Raw genomic sequence first — 21176 nt, 5'->3', positions numbered from 1 at the left:
GGAACACCTTATTATATGCCTTACTGAAATCCAGATAGTCAAAATTTATGGAATGCTGATGCATTCTTAGTCTAGGAAACTCACAGTTAGTTTTGGGAATAGTATGTTCTTAAGGGCCTATGCTGCCTGCCATTCATCGCTACTGTATTCTAATTGTTCATAAACCATCTTTCTAAGTGACTTTTTAAAGTTTTGTGGGTATTGTGAGCAAGTTTACTGGTCTGTACATTTTAAAATCATGGTATTTACATGTTTTTAGGGACACAGATTCCTCATGATAGTTACTTCATTATCATTAATTTTAGCTTTTTACTGTCTCATTCATTCTACCATCTATTCATTTCTTTATCCAAAAAAGTATTCATTAAGCTGTGTACCATATGTGTACCATATACTGTGTACTATATACCATTAAACTGTGTACCATATACTGTGCTTGAATTGGGAAAACATTCTTGCTCCTCTTATTTTCCCTCTGTATATATGTCTGGGTTTTTTTTCCATTTAGCATTTACAGTTTGCCTCCTTTAAAAAATTGACATAATAGCTATACGTAATCTCATAATCTCTGTACATACAATATAAAATAGGAAAATAAAAAATAAAATTGGATGAAAACCAATTAAAAGTAGCAAATAGATATGAATATTTATAAGCACCTGAGTTGAAGTTTAGCTGTAGAATTCCAGCAGATAAAGGAGAGAAAGGACATGTCATAGGCATATAATCATTTATTCATCTGTCCATTCCATATGTATCTATTGTATTTCTCTTATATGCCAGATCACACACCTGAGAGCATTTACATTTTACCATTTACAGTTCTCATTTTCTGACATATGGAATCATAATAGTTCTTCTCAAGATTTCCTGACACTGAAGTCAAGGGAGAGTTTTGTTGCATGATTTTATTTGAGAGTCCTTAGGAAAAGTAATAGACAATAAACTTCTACTGTTGTTTTGCAGAAGACAGATTATTTTAAATAGTTTTTTAAAATATAAATCCCCTGTAAAAGCAGAGGGCTTTGTATTTAATCTTTTTTTCAGTAATGATAATTCTTTAGGGAGTTTAGGTGATGTGGTCCTTAAATACTCCTTTATGATTACCTAACTCATAACAGGTATAAAGTTTAGAGGAAGAGCCTACACAGTCAACCTGTCTATTCAGCTCTTTGTGTTAAACATCAGCTGTCTGAATTGAGCTTAATAAGTGCTGGGTTACAATCAGCTCTTGCTTGAAAGCTTTGATGAGTGACTAAGATGCCAATATTCTGTTTTCCTGGTCACTTATCTGTTAAAGACTTTCCTCCTGTGGGTGAGATTGCAACTGAAGCACTCCCACTTTTTTTTTTTTTTTTTTTTTTTTTAAAGACGGAGTCTCACTCTGTCGCCCAGGCTGGAGTGCAGGGGCGCGATCTCGATTCACTGCAAGCTCTGCCTCCTGGGTTCACGCCATTCTCCTGCCTCAGCCTCCCAAGTAGCTGGGACTACAGGTGCCTGCCACCATGCCCGGCTAATTTTTTTGTATTTTTAGTAGAGAGGGGTTTCACCATGTTAGCCAGGATGGGCTTGATCTCCTGACCTCGTGGTCTGCCTGCCTTGGCCTCCCAAAGTGCTGGGATTACAGGCGTGAGCTACGGTGCCCAGCCATGCACTCCCACATTTTTATATCCATTAGGGTGATAGTTGTTTTCAAATACATGAGGACATTATGTGTAAATGTCAAAGTTCCAAGAGAAACCAACCAACCCTGAAATAAATGATGCTGAAACATTTTATATAATGATAAAAATCACAAAGTGTCCAAATTTGGCTGTGCACAGTGGCTCATGCCTGTAATCCCAGTTACTTAGAAGGATCGATTGAGCCCAGGAGTTTGTGATCAGCCTGGGCAATATAGCAAGTCTGTGTCTCTTAATTTTTTTGTTTTTGTTTTTGTTTTTTGAGATGGAGTCTCTCTGTGTCACCTAGGCTGAAGTGCAGTGGTGGGATCTCAGCTCACTGCAACCCCCACCTCCCCGGTTCAAGCAATTCTCCTGTCTCAGCCTCCCGAGTAGCTGGGATTACAGGTGCCCACTACCACGCCCAGCTACTTTTTGTATTTTCAGTAGAGACGGGGTTTCACCTTGTTGGCCAGGCTGGTCTTGAACTGACCTCGTGGTCCGCCCACCTCAGCCTCCCAAAGTGCTGGGAGTACAGTCGTGAGCCACCATGCCCAGCCTTAAATTTTGTTTTTTTAAAACTTAGCTGGGCATGGTGGTGCATGCCTGTAGTCCCAGCTACTCGGGAGGCTGAGGCAGAAGGATCGCTTGAGCCCAGGAGTTCAAGCCTTCCGTGAGCTATGATCATGCCACTGCACTCCAGCCTGGGCAACAGAGTGAGACCCCACCCCTTTAAAAGAAATCCAAAACAAAAAACAAAGTCTCTAAATTTGGCAGCTAGAAAATTTAGGGAACATGACAACGTTAAATATATAGATAGATTTAAAGTAGAGATACATATACTTTAAATCTCTGCTCTGAGTAGGACGTTATCTTACAATGATGTTGGTGCATATTCTAGAAGTTATGCAGCAGTATAATACAGTGGCAAGCATGGTGTAAAGAATAACTTCCTGTTTAGTGATCTGAGTCTGAGATTGGTGCTATAACTTATTTTAGGAAACATTTCACCATACCTTTAATTTGGAGAGATGGGGGTGGAAAAACCAATTTTGACTCTGAAGCACACAAAAAGAAAGAAAAACAAGTAGAATTTATTAATCCACAGACCAATTCCAAAAGTAGGTATTATTATCTTCATTTTATAGATGAGAAAGCTGAGGCCCTTAAGTTATCCAAAGAAACAGCTAATTTACAAAATCAGATTTGTTCGACTCCATAGTCTTTGTTCTTCCCACAATACTATGCTGCTTGCAGCAATTCCTAATTTCTCTAATATATTAATATTTGGATATTTTATACCTTTTCTAAGTCACATTTTCAGTCAGTGGGTGGTGACAGGATGAAATTATATAAAAAGTACAGTTTGCTAAAAATTAGACAGTAAGTTTAGAATCATAAACTTGTGGACCAACACCTGCTTATTTTGAGGGTTCAAGTGGCCTGTGGAGGTGGAAACACAGTGAAAAGGGCCCTGAAGACTGTAATTATTCACACTGACTGTCTTTGAATTAAACTGATTTCAAAAGTAGTTGGAAGAGAAAAAGGAAGATTGTATGGTCAACATTGTCATAGTGAAGATAAAGGTTATTGAAGCATGAATTGGCCCATTCATGCAACAAATATAGTAGGTGCTAGGAATACAGAGGTGAGTAAGCAATGGTTCTTCTACTAGCTGTCCTAGGAGTTGCACCTTACAACATCAAGTTCTCCCTGACTTCTAAGCACCCGTTCCTTTCTCTGATTTTCCCCAGCACTTCATCTGAACCACTAAATGTAGGCCCCAGTAATATACTAGATTACATTTACTGTTTGGGGGCCTTGATTTATCAAAGGCAAAATATTCTTACTATGCTAAAGACAAAAACCATGTCTTATCTCGTCATATATTTGGTGGGCCCTCATAAATATTTATTGGTTGGTAAAAGGCAAAAACACAGAAGAAATGTTATATGGCATTAAACATAAATTGGCTCTCTTATTCAGGCCCTGGAAAGTGAATCTTTTCTTTGCATTGCTAGAGAAGGAATTTCTGCATTTGATAAGAGATTGAATTAGATGTTCTCTATTATCCCTCCTAAGAGTCTATGATCAACACTTGAGAAAAAGTAAACACCATTTTTATGAAGAAATTTTCAAGTACTTAAATGTTTATGTTCTTACTTAGTGGTAAGAAAAAGCCAATTATTATTTATGATTATTGTTCCTCAAAAAACTTAGGATAAATTGTCTCCTATAGATTAGCTATACCCTTGTTATTAAACTTTAAGTGCCTCAAAGCCTTTTGCATTTGAGTTATTTCTAGATGGCAACAAGGAGAAAGATTAAGAAATTACATTGCTTTTGCCGGGCGCGGTGGCTCACGCCTGTAATCCCAGCACTTTGGGAGGCCGAGGCAGGTGGATCACCTGAGGTCAGGAGTTCGAGACCAGCCTGACCAACATGGAGAAACCCTGTCTCTACTAAAAATACAAAATTAGCCCAGTGTGGTGGCACTTGCCTGTAATCCCAGCTACTCAGGAGGCTGAGGCAGGAGAATCACTTAAACCTGGAAGGTGGGAGGTTGAGGTGAGCCTAGATCACGCCGTTGCACTACAGCCTGGGCAACAAGAGCAAAACTCCATCTCAAAAAAAAAAAAATTACGTGGCTTTTTAAAACTCTGACTACTAATCTATTGAGATAATTTAACAGTTTACTATTACTGGAAGCCTCAGGCAGATGAGATATGCTTTTTTAGGTTAAATTCTCCCAAAATCTCATCCTGTGTTTTCTTAACATTACCTTTGGTTTGTTCTCCAACATGCTTACAATATGTGCATTTGCATCGTGAGGCATTATATTGTCTGTTTAGAAAAAAATTTGAGGTCCGGGTGTGGTGGCTCATGCCTGTAATCCCAGCAGTTTGGGAGGGTGAGGCCAGTGGATTGCTTGAGCCCATGAGTTCAAGACCAGCCTGAGCAATGCAGTGAAACCCATCTCTACAAAAAAAAAAATACGAAAATTATCCAGGCATGGTGGCGCTTACCTGTAGTCCCAGCTACTCCAATGGCTGAGGTAGGAGGATCACTGGAGCCCGTGAGGCGGAGGTTGCAGTGAGCCAATATCACACCACTGCAAAAAAGATAGATTTGAACAGAAGACTCATATAAAATAGAAAAATATGTTTAACACTGTTAAAGGTTTGGGATTACATGCAGTTTTTCTTCATGTAAGGGACTTGCTCTTTTACCAGTTTTATGATTGGCTAACACATTCACATTAATCAAAATTCAAAGGCATAAAAAGGTATGTAATAAAAAGTCTCCTTCTTAAACCCATATCTATGTGACCCTCCCCAGAGGCAACATTCTTATTTATCCATCCAGAGGTTATTTTGTATATAAACAAATTAATGGCCGGGCGCGGTATCTCATGCCTGTGATCTCAGCACTTTGGGAGGCTGAGGCAGGAGGATCACAAGGCCAGGAGTTCGAGACCAACCTGACCAACATGGTGAAACCCCATCTCTACTAAAAATACAAAAATTAGCCAGGTGTGGTGGCGCGTGCCTGTAATCCCAGCTACTCAGGTAGCTGAGGCAGGAGAATCGCTTGAACCCAGGTGGCAAAGGTTGCAGTGAGCTGAGATTGCACCACCGCACTCCAGCCTAGACGACAGAGTGAGACTCTGTCTCAAAAACAAACAAAAAAAGAAACCAAATTAATATGTATTTATTTTTCCCCAGTTTTACACAAATGGTAAACACAATTTAATACCTTCCTTTTATCACTAACATTACTTCATAAAGATATTCCATATCAGTTAATAAAGAAATCTATTTAATGGCTACATAGTATCTCTTTAAATTCCATAATATACTATAATTTTATTTAACCAAGATTGATTGATTTAGACACAGGGTCTCACTCTGTTGCCCAGGCTGGAGTGCAGTGTCATGATCATGGCTCACTGTAACTTCAAATTCCTGGCCTCAAGCGATCCTTCTGCCCCAGCCTCCCAAGTAGCTGGGACTATAGGCATATGCCACCTTGCCAACTAATTTTTTTATTTTTTGTAGAGGCAGGTCTCACTTTGTTATCCAGGTTGGTCTTCAACTCCTGGGCTTAAGCAATTTCCTCCCCCCACCTTGGCCTCCCAAAGTGCTGGGATTACTGGTGTGAGCTACTGCATCCAGTAATTGATGGGTTACACCCAGTATTCTGCTGTTACAAACATCCAGTAATTAACTGTGTGTACATAGGTGATTTCCACATGAAAATATATCTATAGACTAAATGCTTGTTTAAGAGTATGTGTGATTTATAATTTTTATTGGCAAATTGCCCATGAAGGAATTGTATCAGTTTCACTTATACTAACAGTGTATAGTAGTGACTTTTTCCTGGTTTTCCTGTAACCTTGCCAAAGCCAGTTTTTTTTCTTTACTAATCTGACAGGTGAAAAATGTTTTTTTTTTCTTTTTTCTTTTTTTTTAAAATATAGCTTTAGGTGGGCATGGTGGCTCACACCTGTATAATCCCAGCACTTTGGGAGGCCAAGGCAGGTGGATCACTTGAGATCAGGAGTTCAAGACCAGCCTGGCCAACATGGTGCAACCCCATCTCTACTAAAAATACAAAAATTAGCCAGGCATGGTGGCACATACCTATAATCTCAGCTACTTGGGAGGCTGAGGCAGGAGAATCACTCGGGAGGCGGAGGTTGCAGTAAGCCAAGATGGCATCACTGCACTCCAGCCTGGGTGACAGAGCAAGACTCCATCTCGAATATATATATATATGTAGCTATAATTAGGAGCAAATTCAATATGTGTAATTTTGCATATCTTTTTAACATGCTTATGTGCTATTACTATTTCCATTTCTAGAAACTTTATTTTTTGTTGATCTTTTACTTACTAGTTTGTAAGAATTCTATATATAATGAGTAAATTAGCCTCTTTTTTGTGGTTTGGAATTCAGAAAATTTCCCCGTTTGTTATTTATCTTTTGGCCTAGTTATGGTGTTTTTGTTTTTGTTTTTTTCTGTGGTGTGTGTGTGTGTTTTACCATGTAAGTTTAATAAAACTCATCAATTTTTGTCTTTTATGCTTCACTCTGCTCCAACTATAGTAACCTCCTTGTTACCTTTCAAATATGCTAGATACTTTCCAACTTCAATGTCTTTTATTTCCTGTTCTCTACACCTGAAATTCTCTTCCCTGAGATAAATATTTCATTTCCTCCTTCACCTCTTTTGAGTCTTTGATCAAATGTCAGCGTTTCATTGAGACTTTCCCTGACCACTCTATTTTATATTACAACCTCCCCTTCCCTGCTTTGTTTTCCCTCCATCACATGGAGCTCACAGACTTTTGAGATATTTATTAGTATTTTTTTCAGATCAGATTGGAGTTTACCCATACAAATGAAGCAAGTGGGAATTAATATTTTTAAAGTGGTTGACTCAGGAGACTAGACACTTGGTCCAGTGAAGCTATCATTGCCCAAAATATTTTTATGATGATTTCTTTTAAGAACTGCCTTCAGAGACAGATTAAAGTCTTACAAAGAGAGTCCTGTGTCCAGAAAGCAATGTGTCTCAAAGTGTGGCCATTAATCACTTGCATCAAAATTACCTGGGGTGGGGTTGGAGACGTATTAAAAAGGCTGTTTCCTGACTCAAATCTATTGAATCACCTTCTCTGTGGGAATGGGGCTGAGGAACTTGCCTTTTAAATAAATTCCCTAGGTGATTTATAGGCCACTAAAGGTTTAGGATCACTGCCTTTACCTTAGTTTCCCCTAGCTTAGTCATATACTCTGTTTTCCTAACTTAGTTTAGTTTAAACCAAAGATTTAGGATTATGCTATGGTTTGAGCATCCCCACCGAAACTCATATGGGAACCTTAATTCTTAGTGTGGAAATGTTGGGAGGTGCAACCTTTAAGAGGTGGAGCCTAATGGGAGATGCCTGGGTCATGGACCCACCATGTCCTTGACTGTTCTCATGGTAGTGGGTTCTCCCTCTTGTTCTCATTAAGCTAGTTTAGCAATCCCAGGAATGGATTTCTTCCCAGGAGAGCAAGTTGTTATAAAGGGAGGATGCCCTTTCCACATGGATCCACTTCCCCCTTGACCTTTCGCCATATTATGATTAAATATAAATGTATTTAAAAGAAAATAGTGATTTTAGTTTTGTATCCAGTTGTAAATGTTTAAAATTTTGTGGTATTGTACAAATGCAGCATCTATAATGTATTGTCTTATTTTCTAAATATTGATACCTGCCCATTCATTTTCTGAATGGAAAAAAAAAAACAGTGACAGTGTTGGTTTAGTCAACAAATCTTTGCTAATGTATCTTCCTGTGCAAAATAAAGTCTCATAGAGCTGGCCTGTAGCTATAAACTATCATTTTTAATCCTAAAAGAAATGATGATAAAAGTGTTAAATATTATTATGCATTTAATAATAGTAAAATAGCGACCAATTTTAAGGGCCTACCATATTTTAGGCACAAGTCCAAGTGTTTTCTGTATCTTAACTTATTTCATCCTTACAAGAAGACAAGTGTTTTAAAGGTAAGTGTTATTTCCACTTTATACCTGAGGCTCTTTTAAACTCATGGGAATCACACTGAAATATGTAGTAATCAGGAACCCTTAAATAGAGTAGTTGACAGTTTTGTGCCCTCTATTTTTTATCAAATATTCTTCCTTTTACAGCACCTGGTATACGGTAGGTAGGCAGTGAGCATTTGTGGAATTTCATCTCCCTTCCCCTAAATTGCTAGGTTCCATTTAATATATATTTTATGTTAGAGTATAGCTTGGTGAAAGCCAGTGACTTAGGTAATTATGACTTAAGTTGAAAGAAATTAAACAATATCCTGTTTTGAATTTAAACAAGATTACTTTTTGCCATATCTGATTTATTAGTAATCCTGGTTTCCGTTAACAAGATAGAAATATCTATGCTTCAGCAATGAAAAATTTTACAAGTGATTAATACATGCTAACCATCAGATATTCTGTTTATATTTCTCTCCAAACTTTAGATTAAAACCATTTCATCTTATCTTACCAGTTTTCTAATAGCAAGAACTGGAAAATATAAAAGTATATCTGACTTATGATTAACTATTTCATTTCACTCATTGCCTCAACCCTTCCTTCATCCTTCTCTCCCTTCTTCCCTTGTATCATTCCCTTAGTGAGGGCATTTATTGTCTTTTCAAATTTGTAATTTTAGCATTTGGCCTTGGGTTGATTTGGCAACTCGTTAGTCCCCTCCTCAAATGTTCTATGATGGGCAGGCTGTTCAATTTATTCAGAAATTGTATTATTTAAAAACAGAGCCATTTCCCTTTGTTGTAGAGTGGTTTGCCCTTGCTTCCCCACTTTGGGTTTGAGATTGCAGGAATTTACTTATGGAAACCATTTATCACTTTATGACATCTAACTCTGATGAATGCCATGTGCAGTTGGGTTGACAACTTTGGCCCTGCCACTGGATGCACTGGTACACTTTTATCTCTTCAAAAGGAAGAAAATACCACAATTATGAGAACCATGCATTTTATCTTTAAATGACTGGTTTTTCCCCATCTATTTTCCTTCTAATGTTTTGAACTGAATTTTTTGCTGCTGGTAGTGTTATAAATGGTAGCCCTGTGCATAAATGATCTTGGGAGGAAGAAGCAGAGTCTCCTAGCCATGAGAAAGATTTGACATCTGTACTGTGAAGTACCACCTTCTTGTTAATTATAATGGAATGAATTGACAAGTAGGAATTTTTACAATTTCATACTGTCCATCAGCCCTACAGGCTCTTGATGATTGCAATTTGAAAATCTCAAACATAATTCATATTTTAGGAAGATTGATCAGATTAATTAAAATTTTAAGTCTCTCTTTGATTAGAACAAATTGTTGGTTAAGGCTACCATAAAGTGTCAGCTGGTTGTGTGATTCCTGTGTATCTCCCAACTACTTCCAAAAAATTAGAGTGATTTTCCAATAACTAGCAGAAAATTGATCACTTTGTTGTTGTTTTTATATAATTTATTGAATGGCTGTGTGCTTTGCGATCTGCACCGCAAACATGCTTTGTATAGTGGTGAAAGTTTTGTTATATATTATTTTATACCCAATAAGATATCTACATTTTCATAATTATTTTATCTTCTTGCTCATTTTCACAAAAAGAATATGGGAAGTACACAATTTCCAGGCAAAATTATGTTGAGATGGAATCCTTAAAACCACTGAACTTGCCTGCTTTTCCCTTTTTTTTTATTTCTCTTCTCTCTCTCTCTTTCTTTCCTTTATTTCTTTGTTCTTTCTTTTTTTGGTAGGTATCCTGTTTAGCTAGTACTAGTACTTAATAGCACTTATGGGCAGATAATTTGTTATATCTGCTTAATTAATCCATTGGTGTGAAAGCAACAAGGACTTACTCCCTTTTGTGGGAAATGACATTCCAACTATTTTTTTGACATCTTTTGTTTTTGAGGTTGCCAATGATCAGGCCAGAGTCAAGACTGACTCAAAATATTTTAGAAAAAAGCACAAAAAGATCCTAATTTTCTAATCTCACGATCTATACATCCCTATCGATGAGTTAAGCTATATGGGTGTGAAATTTGGCATAGAAGGTTAGGCTGCTTGAGCACCTTTTATCCCATCATAGTTGTGGAATGTGAGAATTTGAATTTTGATGGTGGCACTGATATGAAATTGCCATGAGGTCTGGTTATTGCTCTTCTGAATGTGTATTTAAACCTGCCTTCCAATGAACTTATTGCAATGGTGCTAACTTAACACTCTTGCCAACAGTTCTAGTGGCCCTTAGCAGCACCTACTTTCTATAGTCATAGCACAGATTTTATGGAGGATTCAGTCTAAATTTCTGAGATGAATTTCTATAGACAGAAAATGTATTGGCTTTAAAAATTAAGAGGTTTGATTCTGTTTTGAATTTGGATATCAAATGAATGTGAACACATGACATTTTAATGCCGTTTGTCTTTTCAAATAGATTTACCTTCTAATGCATGTGATGACAGGACTTTGCTCATCAGCTAGAACATACATTTCAGAGGAGTTGTTACCTAAAATATTATCATAAGGCATAAGAAAACACACGATTTAAGTTGCCTTTCATGAACATAATTAAGAATTAATAAGCCAGTACCAGTGGCTAGTCCCCAGAATTTCCACTGTTTTGCCTTTTGTGACCTGTGTTATTAAAAGTCCATTATTTTTACAGACTTTATTAAATTGGATCTTATTAAAGCATTCTATATTTGCATTTGGTCTTTCATAATTCATTATTATTATGACATTTACTTTTTACCATCAGATCTGAAAACATATCATAAGCTACCCTTTTCTCTTGAAAGAAATGCTAATTTCAAACAGTCCTCTAATAGAAGAGAAAAGCTTTATCAGTTTTTTCATTTATTCCAGATCGTGTTAAGAATACTAATGCTAGACTTCAGTATGCTAATATCTCAGAGCTTTTTTTGGTCAAAAGCTTAGAATTATTATTTTTATCTCATGCTAAGTATGAAACTAGAAGACCTACTACTACTGGAGAAAACATAATTGTAAAGTACAGTTGTTGATTCTGAAGACTTGTGAAAACGTTGCTAAATTCTGTTTTTTAGGATGATGCTAGTCAATTTATCTTTGCACAACACTATATTATTCTATTTAAGAAATTTTATCCTCTTGAAATTAATGTAGTTTGTTTTTCTCATAGTTTAAAGGTAGTGTTGTAGTGTTTAAGGCTAAGAATCCTGCCGGGTGCAGTGGCTCACACCTCTAATCCCAGCACTTTGGGAGGCCGAGGCAGGTGGATCACAAGGTCAGGAGTTCAAGACCATCCTGGCCAAGATGGTCAAACCCTGTCTCTACTAAAAATACAAAAAAAATTAGCCAGGTGTGGTGGCGGGAGCTTGTAATCACAGCTACTCAGGAGGCTGAGGCAGAAAATTGCTTGAACCCGGGAGGCGGGGGTTTCAGTGAGCCGAGATCACAACACTGCACTCCAGCCTGGGTGACAGAGAGAGACTCTGTCTCAAAAAAAAAGACTAAGAAAAGAATCCTATGCTGTCAGCCCCAGACAGCATTTAGGGTATGCTTCCTGCTTTTCTATATGATAATCACTTCTGTATTATGTCAGATATGTTTGAAAACTCAATATAGCAAGATTTTACATATTGATATCAGGCAGGCTGTCTAATTTAACATAACTAATAACACAATGAGTTCTTTGTTGAAGTACTAGTAAATCTATTAAACTACAAAGCAAAACTTACTTTGTATTTTGTCTCCTTTTAGATTTCTCACTATGTGCAATAGACACTTTGGCAGTGTTGTGGCACAAACCATTCGGACTCAAAAAACGGATCAGTTTCCGCTTTTCCTGATTATTATGGGAAAGCGATCATCTAATGAAGTGTTGAATGTGATACAAGGTAAAGTACATGTCACAAGGAGAGTAAAGCCTTCCTGGTATGTGATAACTTTATAGTTTTTCCACCCAAGCTGACAATATTTCTATTAGTAAATATCTTTGCATTTGAAAATATAGAATATCCTGAAAAATGTCTTCAAAAAATATAGGTGCTATAAAAAATAATATGCTGCATGAAAATCTAAAAGAAACATCTTAATAAAATTGCACAACCCTTGGGGCACAGGATGTTCAAGTTAAATGTTCAGAATTGCTAAATTGTATAATCTATCAATTAGGACATAATCAGTTGTCAAGTGTGACATTTCTATTTATATTGATTTATTGTTATAATGTTGATTAATTGGAAGAAGTACTTATCTTTAGTTATCTAGAAAATCCAGTCACTGTATATTGAAGATTGAATTTTTCACAGTGACAATTGTTTCTTCTTATTTGTATGATTCCATGTTTAGGGTGCAACCCTGAAGCATGAAGCTGTGGGATGCCTGTGAATTTAACCACAGTGCACATTCTTTACCAAAAAAGAAGTGAATGATTTTGTTTTGTTTACTGTTAGTAATGCACTCCAAGGGTTGGTGTAAAATATTACCTTGTTCATTACAAAGCTTAGGTTGAACAGTATATCTTCTCTATGCCACTGGGGAAAAGATTTTCAAGTGCCTCAAGCTAAAACTATATCTGGTATACTAATTTCTGCCTCCATTTAAGTCTGATTGGGAGGAGGGGATATGTGTAAATTGCAGTGCCTTTAAAACCCAAATAAAACCAGACCTCTAGCATTTTATGTTTTCTCTATAACTAGAGCATTCAATTTCATAAACAGTGTTTAAAAAGACCTCCAGGGGAACTGATTTGCATAGGGTAAATGGATAATGAAGATAACACTTCATTCCTGCTTTCCCTGTCAGAGGCAATGTTGCAAGAACTAGTGTTTCTCAAGGTGTGGTTTGTAGACATCAGACTAGACCCTTTTAGGATATCTGTAAGGTCAAAATTATTTTCCTAACTGTAATAAGACTTTTTTTTTTTTTTTTTTGCCTTTTTTACTGTGTTGACATTTGCACTAGTGGCTCAAAAGGAATAGTTTATAAAAACTCTTGGCACCTTAGCACGAATCAAAGCCATAACACAAAACTGCAATAGTAGTCATATTCTTCATTGCCATGTATTTAGTTAAAAAAGAAAAGAAAAAGCCTTAAGAATGTCCTTGATGAAGCAGTAAAAATTATTACTTTTATTAAATTTTAACCCTTTTAATAGTTTATGTGGCACAATGGGAGGTATGGGTAAAGCACTTCTGCTGCATACTAAAGTATACTGGTGGTCTGGAAGAAAAGCACTGGTGTGGTTGCTTACACTGAAATACTTGCTTTTTATTTCTTATAGAAATTATTTTTACTTGAAAATATTACTGACAGGCAAACTATGCTTATGTAGCCTGGGTAGTTGCCAAGATGTTTTCTGTGATTTTTTTTTTTTAATATCCTATAATGAAGTGTGTCAGCATTCAGCAGAGAAATGCATAACTCAGTGAACCAATATTTTACAAATGACCAATGTATGTTATAAAATCATGTATAGATAAAAGATCCTTTCAAAGGGCAATAGATTTTAATGTAACAGAGTACACAGATTTCATTGATACGGTTTCAAATTCCATGTGCATCTAATTTGAAGAAAACTTACACTTGTCAGTTTAAGTGTATTATCAAAGAACATCCACATTTATGAAAATACTTGTCCCTTTTCCAACTACATATCTTTGTGTGACCAGATTTTCTTCGTAAATTTCAACCAGTACAATATATTGTAACTGGTTAGTGTAGATGTAGGTACGAGAATACAGAATACGGTTGTTTTCTATTAAGCACACACATTACAGAGATTTGCAAAAATGTTACAATGCTGCTCTTCTCACTAAACTTTTTCTTTTGGAAAATAGTCATGTTTCATAAAAATGTAATATTTATATTAACATGTAATGGGTTTATTATTGTTACTTTTAAATGGATTGATAAATTTATTTTAAATATTTCTATTTTAATTTCTAACACAGTAAATGTTAATAGCCATAATCCACATAAACAAAAGTTCTTTGGGGATCTCAGTAATTTTTAACAGTGTAAAGGGGTCCTGAGACCAAAAAGTTTGAGAACTGCTGCAATCAACTATAAAGAGTAAGTTTGCCCTGAACTGCATTAACTGGTATACTTTTTCTCTGTCTTTGATCAATAAGGGCTTAAATATGTAGTACCTACAAGTCCAGTTTGGCAATGGAGCCTTCCAGTTAGGGCTAAAACATAGCTGATAAGCAGTGACTTAAGCCTAAAAATTAGTGGTCAGTATGTAGTCAACCTATACAACTATAGTATTTTCCCACTGATGATTCCAGTGTACTCCATATAGTACCCATTTCCCATGCTCCGAGTCTTAGCCACTACAGTTTTTAAATAAAACATAGAAACCCAGAGACTTGCCCAATAATAAAATCTACATTGGTTAGGTGTGGTGGCACATACCTATAATCCCAGCTACTTGGAAGGCTGAGGTGGGAGGATCACTTGAGACCTGGGCAACAAAGCGAGACCCTGTCTCAAAAGAATAAAAAATCTACACTGAAGGTGCTCCTAAACTTCTTTTGTCATCTGTCATATCTATTAATATTAACTACCAATGATTTGTATATACTTTACGTTATCTCCACTCCTTCTAAGAACACTACATAGTGTTATCTCCATTTTGAGAAAAGGAAATTGATCCTTAGAGAGCTACAGTCCATTTATTCACTTATTCATTTATTTATTTATTGAATAAATATTCATTAAAGCCTTTGTCATGTGCCAATTTCCAGGTACTAGATTATATAGCTTGTAAGTAATGGAATTAGAGTTAGAACTCTGACTATAAAACCAGTTCTGTTTTCTTAGTGCCAAGATAGCATTTGTCCTGTAACTCATTTACTGAGTGAGTAGTACTGATGTGAACAAATTAGATCATTTCTTTTGCCAAGGACCATAGATGTTCCCTAAACCCATGCTGCCAATGGTCATAAGGATAATTAGGGAAAGGACCACTGAAAGATCATGTTAGTCAAGCCCTCTGGAAAAATGCCAGCAAGAATGTTTGGTCTTTATTGTCCTGTAAAGGATGGCCATTGCATTAATGGAGAAGAAGATCCCTTCTCAAGCCTTGGAGAAAACCTAACTCTTTCTGCCTGTAGGTTTGAGAGAAGAGAATTGTCATATCTTTATATATCCTCATGAATTTTTCTTTTGTAGGTACATCCCAAGCAAATAACAATGACTTAAATGTGTTCAGGAAATGGCACATATGTGCTATATGTTTGTTATGGACTCGGTTGGAATAAAATGACATTAAAGAAAATCAAACATTAAAAATACCTTCTTTATAAAGATCATAAGAATCATTTAAAAGCAGCTGAAAGGGAGAAATATCAATTGGGCAAAAAAAGAAATCTTTTTTTCAGAAATTGAATTACTATTTCTTTCACTGGAGGATTTTTGATGATAGAAGATAATTGTAAGTAAAGGTAATAGACTGAGGTGGGCGGCAAAGAGGACAGGCTTCGAGTCAGCCTCTTCTGGTTTCAGATTCTGGCCTCACCACTTAACCAGCTTGACCTTAGTCAGAGAGGTTTTTTTGAGCTAAGACTCATTTTTCTTCTCTTTAAAACCAAATCATAATGAATCCTTCATAGATTTGTTGTACAGATTAAATGAGATGGTATAAAAGTGCTTAGCCTAATCAGTGATATATAAACAATTGGTAGTTGTTGCTAGTGTTATTAACAAGATATGTTTTCATAATTTGACAGAACTTTTGAACTTCATGATTTGGACATTCTTCTATATAGTGCTAAAAGTCCTTCTCATTAAGAAACTGCTCCCTCAAATATAACTTCCGAAATTTCAACTGCCAGTATACTACTATTTCTTATTGAACATATGAAACATTTCAATAAAACCACAAAAGTATTTTAACTGTAATTTTTTTAGACTGATTATTCCTTTCTGGTTAATTCTAGAATGACTTTCCAGTTTCTAATACTTTAATAATTTGAAGTTATATATAAAATGATTATAAAAGTTTGGCAATCTCTATATGTTTTTAGGGAACACAACAGTAGATGAGTTAATGATGAGACTCATGGCTGCAATGGAGATCTTCACAGCCCAACAACAGGAAGATATAAAGGACGAGGTAAGGTTATGCAGATCTTTAATAGGATTTTGATGAGATTTTAATAGGATTTTAATTTGTCAAATGATGATACATGCCTATGATATGATCGATAAATAAGGATGATGAAGATGCATTTCCAAATTTACCAAGGGTTTTTATGCTATGGAGTTTACCTTTCAGTCCATTCTTTTTATGACCCCAAGACCCAATAATTTGTTTTAATTTATGTACTATTTACACTTTGCTAGATTTGGGGTGGGTACAGGAAGTCGATTTGCAAGAAATTAGTTCAGAAGCATGTTTATAGAAGAAACTGTAGTCCAGGAAATTATGTCTACTATATGGATTTTATCACTCAGTTTTATGGTCCTCTTACTCTTTTTAAATATTGAGATTAATTAGCAATAAACACATTTTACATTTGAATATATTTTTGAAGTACTGTGAGCATTAGCAAAAGATCTCCAGCATTCTGAATTTCTCAGCTTCCTTAACATATTCAGGTGTTTTCTCAACCTCCTAAACATATTCAGGTGTTATAGATAACATGAACATAGAACCTCAAATAAAATAATAATAAAAACATTATCGATGACAATAGTGTTCAATACTTACCTAGTATTTATCATGTGCTAGGCACTGTGCTAAGCACTAATCATCATCTCATATGATCCTCAAAATAACCCGTGAAGTTGTATATCAATCAGTGTTATGGCAGTAAATAGACACTTTTAAACTAGGTTATTTAAGAAGAGTTTAATAAGGTGACCATTTTTAAAGATGTGGGCAGGGTTTTCAAAAATCAACAGAAGAGGCTGGGCACAGGGGCTCACACCTGTAATCCCAGCACTTTGGGAGGCTGAGGTAGGTCGATCACTGAGTTCAAGACTAGCTTGGCCAACATGGTGAAACCCCATCTCTACTAAAAATACAAAAATGAGCTGGGTATGGTGGCATGTGCTTGTAATCCCAGCTACTCGGGAGGCTGAGAGGCAGGATAATCGCTTGAACCTGGGAGGTGGAGGTTGCAGTGAGCCAAGATCATGCCACTGTACTCCAGCCTGGGTGACAGAGTGAGAATATGTCTCAAAAAAATTATCAGCAGAAGATAATATAGACCCCAAGGCTAAAGGGAACCATTATCATCTCTAGGCCTGAAAGCCTAGGAGAGGGTGCTGTATGGAGAGGACTGCTTCTGACAGAGGGATATAGCCAACCTTGGTGGCCTAATAGAGAGGAAAGTAGGGAATAGCTTCACCTTCCTTCTCTAATCTTCTGCTAGTATCCCTATTAATTTAGCCTAATTAGAAGCTGGAAGGTAGGAGAGCCTCCATGGGCAAAAAGCTGTGTAGAGAACATGGATCCTGAGGGGGTAAATGGCAGATAATCTAGCACAGATTGGTATGATTATCTATACTTTTCAGATGAGAACACTGAGAGTCAAAATTAAGTAGATTTGCCCAAGGCCATATAGCTGGTAGGAGCTATAAATAATTATCTCAAGAAGTCATTATTACGTGGATCATTCAAGAAATTTCTGGATTTAGAAAATAGCCTTAAAATATGAAACAAATATTAGCATTTGTTAATTTGAGATGTTATGTTCACAGATATTGGTAAGATTATCATTTTTAATTTATGTGTTTTAAATTTCTTTTTAAAAGATTTCCCTAGAACACGTAAGGGAGAGTTTTATTTCTGAACAATGATGAAAAGTTTCTAAGGATAGTTTTAATAGACTATCCTTTAGGTATTGCAAATGTGAAACATATAGACAATTTTAATATAGCCCTGAACTATTGTATTTTAGTTTATTTATCGCTGTATTACATTAAACTGAGAGCAAGAGTCATACCATATTCATCTTTGTAAGTCTGTCCCCTAACAGTGTACTTAGGACAAAGTCAGCACTTAGTAAATGTTTGTTAAGCAATTGAATAAATGAACATTTGAATTTACATAAAATAAAGTAACTTGAAAAAAAAATTTGGTTACAATGATATAAAACCTGGCCAGGGCTCGGGGGTGGCTCACACCTGTAATCCCAACACTTTGGGAGGCCAAGGTGGATGGATCACTTGAGCTAAGGATTTAAGAGACCAGCCTGGGCAACATGGTGAAACCCCATCTCTATAAAAAATACAAAAATTAGCCAGGGGTGGTGTTGCGTGCCTGTAGTCCCAGCTACTTGGAGAGCTGAGGCTACAGGGAGCCATGTTCATGCCATTGTATTCCAGCCAGGGCAACAACGTGGGACCCTGTAACAAGTATAGCCCAGCACAGTGGCTCACACCTGTAATCCTAGCAGTTTGGGAGGCCAAGACAGGAAGATGGCTTAAGGCCAGGAGTTTGAGATCAGCCTGGGCAACATAGCAAGGCCCCATCTCTACAAAAAAATTTTAAAAACATTAGCTGGGCATGGTGGTGCATGCCTGTAGTCCTAGCTACTCAGAAGGCTCAGGTGGGAGAATCACTTGAGCCCACGAGTTGAAGGCTGCAGTGAGCTATGCTTGCACCACTATACTCCAGTCTGGGTGACAGAGTGAGACCCTGTCTCTTAAAAACAAACAAACCAAAAAGATAAATTTTAAAATATTTTTAAAAAATGAAACCCAATATATCCACATTAACAAATATGAAAATTTGGAGCACTGTAATTAGTTTATAGAGTTTTAATGCTCACTAGGTATCTTCTATTGCTATAAAAATATGGTTTATACTTTTTCTTAATAGTCAATGTTTCATTTACTCTGAAGGAAAGGCATTCAGATACATGGTAGAAAGATGTTTATCTGTTACTCTATAAATTGACAGTGACATTTTGAAATAATGAAGTACTGTACTTAGTTAGGAATTTGTAATAATAGGTGTTTTGCCTTTCAAGATTACATTTATCCTGGAACAGAGGCATTGATTGACAATAATTCACTAAAAACATTCTTCAGCCATTTAAATCTTGAGTCTCATTAGTACCAGATTTACAGATTATGCTGTATAAGAATATGAATACACAATATTTGCATGCTTATTCCCAGTTCATTTTTCCATCTTAATTTGTGTTCCCCATAATGCACTGGTAAAGAAATTTACTTTAATTCCTTTAATACTGAGCACAAAATTGAATATGAGGGTTACAGGAAAAATCCAATGCTCCATATAATTGAAATTTTTATTGAAATTTAATTGCAAGAGGTAAGGATTTCTCTTTGTTTTTAGAGTGTCTTCATGAAAGTTATAGCTCAAGTTATAATAGAGTTCCTAAGAAAAGCATTTCTAACTTTAAAGACTTCTTTTGGACTATACATAGACCATAATGATTTGGTAGCTGCTGAATATGTGACAAGAAACACTGTCCCTTGTAATTGTGAATTTGCCTTTATTTTTAAAAAATTAGAAATAAGACTTAAGTTTGAAATTAAAATTAAATCAGTGAACAGGTTTGGAGGCTGGCTTCCTAGGCCTGAATTTATTTAAATTTAACTTTAAATTGTATTCATCACTTTGATGATTCCATAGCACAACCGGAAATACCTATGTTTAAAACTTTTGTTAAATAAACCCAAGCCTGAACCATATTTATACACTGAATCACTCTTCAGTGGCCCAGAAAGGACTAACCTTTATATCACTGATTGCTCTATTTTTAACCAGGGTATATACATTATATGGATCTCTGTTTTTGACAGAACTGCCTATAGCTTTCTCTCTTAGACATTTTCATTAGTAGTATTTGGTTTTGTAAAGGTTTACAAAGTACCTACCAAGTACATATCACTGGATGAGGTCCTTGGGACAAAGAAATCTTTTGCTTTAATGAGGGGCTATTGGCAAAGAGTGGGTGAGGAGGAAAACAAGTATTACTACATTACAGTAGCGACATTTTAGAATCTATTTTTGCCTAAAGCCTGATTCCAAATAATAGATGCTTCCTAACATGTAAATGGATTGATTTTTTTATATGCACTGTTTTTTAAGCTACCTAGAAACCTCTGATAATCAAGAGTTTGTGATACTTAGTTTGTGATCTATTTATTGTTTCATTTGTTTATTCATTCAACACAAATTAGTTTATAATCCTCTATCCTGCTTGCAAGGATTACTCACTTCCAGGCTTACCTCTCTGATTAACTTGTATCTGAACAATAGCTCGGTAATTATCACAATCCAGATGTTGGAGATCAGGGCAGATTTCAAGGGCAGTTACATCATTCTCATCTCTAGGAATTCTAAGAATACATTAGTGGAACATGGGCAAAATATGCCAGAGGGGCATTCTAGGCTTATTTTAAAGGGTTCTAATTTAGGATTTAAAAACAGCATTGCCACACTGTAGGGAAGATAACGTTTATTACCTCACAGCAGCCTTTTTGTTGCCAAAGGAAATTGTTGGCTTTGTTGTTTGCTACAAGTGTGTAACTTTTTCCCCTAAGCTTTGTCTTAGTCTGTTTTCAGCAGTGCATTCCTTTTCCTTTCCTTTGTTTAAAATCTCATCACCATCATACCCCTTCTGTTTGCAGAGCTAACAATGACAAACAGAATACTGATTCTGGCTTCTGTTGCAGTTTGTTTTTTGTTGTTGTTGTTCTTGTTGGTTGTTTGTTTCATTTTTTGGGTACACAGTAGGTGTATATGTTTATGGAGTACATGAAATGTTTTGATACAGGCATGCAATGCGAAATAAGCACATCATGGAGAATGGGGTATCCATCTCCTCAAGCATTTATTCTTTGAGTTACAAACAATCCAATTACATTCTTTAAGTTATTTTAAAATATACAATTAAGTTATCATTGACTGTAGTCATCCTGTTGTGCTATCAAATAGTAGGCTTTATTCATTCTTTC

At 36.1% G+C, this 21176-nt stretch overlaps 1 protein-coding gene across 5 annotated transcripts in view; it reads left to right on the top strand.

Annotated features, from left to right (window-relative positions):
• FAF1 (Fas associated factor 1) overlaps nt 1-21176 on the top strand; it is a 523240-nt gene that overhangs the window by 408549 nt on the left and 93515 nt on the right. For all 5 annotated transcript variants that reach the window (NM_007051.3, XM_047442745.1, XM_047442743.1 and 2 more), the window contains 2 exons: nt 11991-12127; nt 16262-16350. In NM_007051.3, coding sequence (NP_008982.1) covers nt 11991-12127; nt 16262-16350 — 226 coding nt within the window. The remainder of the gene's footprint in view (nt 1-11990; nt 12128-16261; nt 16351-21176) is intronic.

Source organism: Homo sapiens, chromosome 1 (genome assembly GCF_000001405.40).
Source record: "Homo sapiens chromosome 1, GRCh38.p14 Primary Assembly".
NCBI classification, from domain to species: Eukaryota; Metazoa; Chordata; class Mammalia; order Primates; family Hominidae; genus Homo; species Homo sapiens.
Note: the sequence above shows the minus strand (reverse complement) of the source record. Positions and strands in the feature narration are given on the sequence as shown.